Source organism: Homo sapiens, chromosome 7 (genome assembly GCF_000001405.40).
Source record: "Homo sapiens chromosome 7, GRCh38.p14 Primary Assembly".
Classification (NCBI taxonomy): Eukaryota; Metazoa; Chordata; class Mammalia; order Primates; family Hominidae; genus Homo; species Homo sapiens.
In genome coordinates this window covers 113,435,971-113,441,970 of record NC_000007.14, presented here as the reverse complement: position 1 = coordinate 113,441,970, position 6,000 = coordinate 113,435,971, and positions in this window count along the sequence as shown.

The following is a 6,000-nucleotide window of genomic DNA, read 5'->3' as shown; positions in this document are numbered from 1 at the left end:
AAGTCTGTGAGTGAAGGCCCAAAATGAGAGGGGAAGTGAGTGTCCCACTGTGGTCCACCTTTCCACTGGAAAACTGTATAACCCCATTCCACGGGAGAGCATCTTGTCCTTTCCAAGGGCTAGAGCTAACCTGGCAAGAGGCTGGGAAACTCTAAAAGGATAGGCACCAGGATGTACCCCAGGCATTTTCCCAGACCCAGGACCAATAGGAGGGCACCATTATCAATTGTGACTTAGACTAAGCTGTACAGGATTCAGCAAGCCTAGAAGAAGCTACTGCCAAGGGCATTAGAGTATCTTGGGCTAAAGATTGGAGTGCTGGGTCTGGAGAAGGGCCACCACAGGCAGAACTGAATGGCAAGTATAAAATATGCTCTAGCCTTAAATGCTGGAGTTGGGCTATCTCTTTACAGCAGCAGAGCAGGAGATTTGTTGGAGCTACAGTTTTGTCTAGGCTGCAAGATTTGTGGGCAGGGATGGCTTTGCGATCTAAACCCAGTGTGTGTGTGACTTTACTGAGTGTTCCAGCTCACTTCATTGGTTAGGATGGGGGGTAATGAGTCCTGCCAGTTATAAGGAGTGAGAAGGAGGCAGGTCTCACACTTGCTCACCTGGATTAGGAGCTTGGCCCACCATTCCCTTCCCGTGCAAGGAACTTGCTCACCTGGATTAGGAGCTTGGCCCACCATTCCCTTCCCATGCGAGGAACTCCCATGCAAGAATATTGGCCCTACTCAATATACATTATAGTCATATCCTCAAGGAAAATAAAAGTTCCATCCAAATGAAGGTAAATTCAAAAATAAGAAGCGACAGTTCCTCCAGATGAGAATATATCATCATAACAATCCTAGAATTGTAAAAAAGTAGAGTGTTATGACACCCCAAAAGACCTCATCGAATTTCTAGCAATGAATCCTAACCGAAACAAAATTTTTGAAATGCCAGGAAAATAATTTAAAATATTGATTTTAAAGATGCTCAATGAGATCCAAGAAAAATTTGTAAACCAATTCAAAGAAATCAGAAAATCATTTCAGGATATTAATGAGAAATTTACCAAGGGCATAGATATCTTTTTAAAAAGCCAAAGAAAAACTTTTGGAAATGAAAAATTCATTGAAGAAATTACAAAATTTGTAAGGGAAAAAGTTTTATCCAAATGAATCAGCATAACAATTCTGGAAGTGTGAAAAATTGTCAGGTCAAATGAAAATGTTAACAATAGACTATACCAAGATGAAGAGAGAATCTCAAAACTTGAATACACGTCTTTTGAATTAATTTGGTCAGACAAAAATAAAGAAAAAAGAATAAAAAAGAATTAATAAAATCTTCAGGAAGTATGGGACTACACAAAGCACTCAAACTTATGAATCATTTGTATTACCAAAGGAGAAGAAAAAACAAAAAGTTTGGAAAACCTATTTGAGGAATTAATTGATGAAAACTTCCCGAGTCTTGCAAGAGATTTAGACATCGAGTACAAGAGGCCCAGCAAACACCAGGAAAATACATTGTAAAATGTACTTAACCACAACATATAGTCATTAGATGGTCTAAAGTCAATGTCAAAGAAAAAAAATCCTAAAATCAGCAAAAGTGTCTAGTCATCTATAACAGAAACCCCATCAGATTAAGAGTAGACTTCTTAGCAGAAACCCTAACATTCAGGAGAGATTTGGAGCCTATTGTCAGGCTTCTTAAAGAAAGAAGTGTCAATCATGAATTGTATATCCTGCCAAAATAAGCTTTATAAATGAAGGAGAAACAATATCTTTCTCAGAAAAACAAATGCTGAGGGAATTTTTCACTTTTAGACCTGTCCTATGAGAAATGCTCAAAGGAGTTTTAAACATGAAAATGAAATGTCAATACTTACCATCATAAAAACACAAAAGTATAAAACTCACAGGTCTTATAAAATAATTATAGAAAGAAGGAAGAGAAAGAATCAAATGGAAACACAGCCAAGCTCCATTAAATCACAAAGACAGACAGAAAGGAAAAATAAGAAACAACCCACAAAAACAACTAGATAACAATTAACATTACGATAGGAACAAAATCTCATGTATGCATACTAACCTTGAACATATATGGATTCAATGCTCTACTTAAAAGCTATAGATTTGCAGAATGGATAAAAGAAAAACCAACTATATGCTGCTTACAAAAAAAAACTTTACTGGTAAAACACTTATGGATTGAAGCAAAGGCATGGAAAAAGATACTACAAACAACAGAAACTGAGAGCAAGCAGGAGTAGCCATATTTATATAAGAAAAAAACAGACTTTAATTAATAAAAGAGTAAAAAAACCCACAAATAATGTTATTATGTAATGATAAATGGAGCAAATTTAACAAGGATATAAGTATTCTAAATATATATGTAACCAGCACTAGAGCACCCAAATTCATGAAACAAGTATAGCTAGACTTAAAGAAACACATAGGTACCAACATAATAATAGTGGGGGACTTTGACACTTCTATGACAGCAGTAGACAGGTTATTGAGATAGAACATCAACAAAGAAACACTGGACTTAAATTGGAGTTTAGACCAAATGGGCCTAACAGACATTCACGATCATTCTATCCAACAAGTTCAGAATATACATTTTTTCTCGTCAGCACATGGAACATTCTCCAAGATACACAGCCACAAAATTAGCTTCTATAAATTTTAAAATATTGAAATCATATCAAGTATCTTCTCAGACCACAGTGAAATAAAACTAGAAATCAATACCAAGAGGAGTTCTTGAAATTATAAAAATACTTGGAAATTAAACAGCATGCTCCTGAACAATCTTTGGGTCAATAATGAAATTAAGGTGGGTATTTTAAAATATTTGGAATGAATAAAAATGCAGATACAACATACCAAAACTTCTGGGATACAGCAAAACCAGTGCTAATGGGGAAGTTTATAGTGTTAAATACCTTCATCGAAAAAGTGAACATACTGTCACACCTCAAAGAACTAGGAAAAGAAAACCAAAACAAACACAAAACTAGCAGAAGAACAACAATAACAAAGATCAGAACAGAGCTAAATGAAATTGAGACCACAGTGAAACAAAGGACCAATGAAATGAAAAGTTGGTTTATTTATCTTTGAAAAGATAAACAAAATTGAAAAACTGCCAGCTCAATTAATCAACAAGAGAGAAGATCCAAATAAATATAATTAGAAATTTAAATGGAAATATTACAAAGGATACCACAGAAATACAAAAGATCAGAGGCTACTATAAACATCTCTGTGCTCATAAACTAGAAAATCTAGAGAAAATGGATAAATTCCTGGACACAAAACCTTTCAAGATTGAACCAGGAAGAAACAGAAATTTTGAACAGACCAATAATGAGTAGTGAGATTGAGTCAGTAATAAAATATCTCCCCCTAGAAAAAAGATCAGGACCAGATGGATTCACAGCTGCATTCTACCAAACATACAAAGAAGAACTCGTACCAGGCTGGGCTCGGTGGCTCACGCCTGTAATCCTAGCACTTTGGGAGGCTGAGGCAGGTGGATTGCCTGGGCTCAGGAGTTCAGAACTAGCCTGGGCAACATGGTGAAACCCCATCTCTACTAAAATACAAAAAGTTAGCCAGGTGTGGTGGCGTGCACCTGTAATGCCAGCTACTTAGATGCTGAGACAGGAGGATCACTTGAACCCAGGAGGTGGAGGTTGTAGTGAGCTGAGATTAGGCTACTGCACTCCAGCCTGGGTGACAGAGCAAGACTCCATCTCAAAAAAAGAAAAAAAAAAAAAAAAGAACTGGTATCAATACTAACTGGAACTGTTCCAAAAAATCGAGGAGGAGGGAATCCTCCCTAACTCATTCTATGAAGACAGTATCATCCTGATACCAAAGTCAGATGAGGACATGATGAAAAAAGAAAACTACAGACCAATATCCCTGGATGATCACAGATGCAAAAATCCTTAACAAAATACTAGCAAACCAAATCCAACAGCACATCAAAAAGATAATTCTTCAGGACCAAGCAGGTTTTATTCTAGGGATGCAAGGATGGTTCAATCAATAAATGTGCTTCATCACACAAGCAGGATTAAAAACAAAAACTTTATGATCATTCAATAGATGCAGAAAGAGCATTCAATAAAATTCAGCATCCCTGCGTAACAAAAACCTTCAAAAAACTAGTCATAGAAGGAACATACATCAAAATAATAAGAGCCATATATGACAAACCCACTGCCAACATCATGCTTAATGGGGAAAAGTTGAAAGCAATTCTCCTAAGAACTGAAACAAGACAAGAATGTCCACTTTCACTACATATATATTCAACATAGTACTGGAAGCCTTAGCCAGAGCAATGAGGCAAGAGAAATAAATAAAAGACATTCAAATAGGAAAAGAAGAAATCAAATGATCTCTGTTTACTGATTATATGATCTTAAGCCCAGGAAACCCTAAAGACTCCTCAAACAACCTTAGATTTGATACATGAATTCAGTAAAGTTTCAGGTACAAAATCAACATACAAAAATTAGTAGCATTTTGGCTGGGTGTGGTGGCTCACGCCTGTAATCCCAGCACTTTGGGAGGCCAAGGTGGGCGGATCACTGGAGGTCAGGAGTTTGAGACCAGTCTGGCCAACATGGCAAAACCCTATTTCTACTAAAAATCCAAAAATTACCAGGGCCTGGTCATGCACACCTGTAATCCCAGCTACTTGAGAGGCTGAGGCAGGAGAATCACTTGTACCCGGGAGGCAGAGTTTGCAGTGAGCTGAGATCATGCCACTGCATTCCAGTTTGGGTGACAGAGCAAGACTCCATCTAAAAAAAAAAAAAAAAAATTAGTAGCATTTCTATATACCAAATAACAAGCTGAAACCCAAATTAAGGCAATTCCATTTACAATAATTATATTTTTAAAAACCCTTGGAATATATTTAACCAAGGGGCAAAAAATCTCTATAAGGAAAACTAGAAAACACTTATGAAAAAAATGTAGATGACACAAACAAATAAAAAAAATCTTATGCTTATGTATTGGAAGAATTAGTATCATACTGCCTAAAGCAATATACAGATTCAATGCAATCCCTATAAAAAATCAACATCATTTTCCTGATAATTAGAAAAAAAAATCTATATAAAACCAAATAAAAAGAGCCCAAATAGCTAAAGGAATTTTAACCAGAAAGAATAAAACTGGAGGTATTACCTTGTCTGAAATCAAATTATACTACAAGGAGATAGTAATCAAAATAGCTTGGTACTGGCATAAAAATAGATACATAGATTAGTGGAATAGAATAGAGAACCCAGAAATAAAGTCACACATACCTACAGCCAACTGAGAGTCAACAAAAACATACACTGGGGAAAGTACATCCTTTTCAATAAGGGGTCCTGGGAAAATTAGATTGCTATCGGCAGAAGAATGAAACTGGAACCCTCTCTGTCAACATATACAAAAATCAATTCAAGATGGATGAAAGACTTAAATGTAAGACCTGAAATTATAAAAATTCTAGAAAAAAACCTAGGGAACACTCTTCTGTACATTGGTCTAGGTGAGATCTAAAAACACAAGCAAGAAAAACAGAAATAGACAAATGGGACTTAAAAGCTTCTACAGCAAAATAAATAATCAACAGAGTAAACAGATAACCTGCAAAATGGAAGAAAATATTTGCAAACTATGAATCAACAGGGGACTTATATCTAGAATTTACAAGGAACTCAAAAACCTCAGCAACAACAGTAAATAAGCAAATAACCCTATTAAAAAGTGTGAAAAGATCAGTTGGCTGTTAAGTATTTGGGTTTATTTTTGGATAATCTACTCTGTTCCGTTGGTCTAAGTGCCTATTTTTATACCAATACCATGCTGTTTTGGTGACTATGGCTTTAATAGTATACTTTGAAATCAGGTAATGTGATGCCTCTAGATTTGTTATTTTTGCTTAGTCTTCCTTTGGCTATGTGGGCTCTTTTTTGGTTCC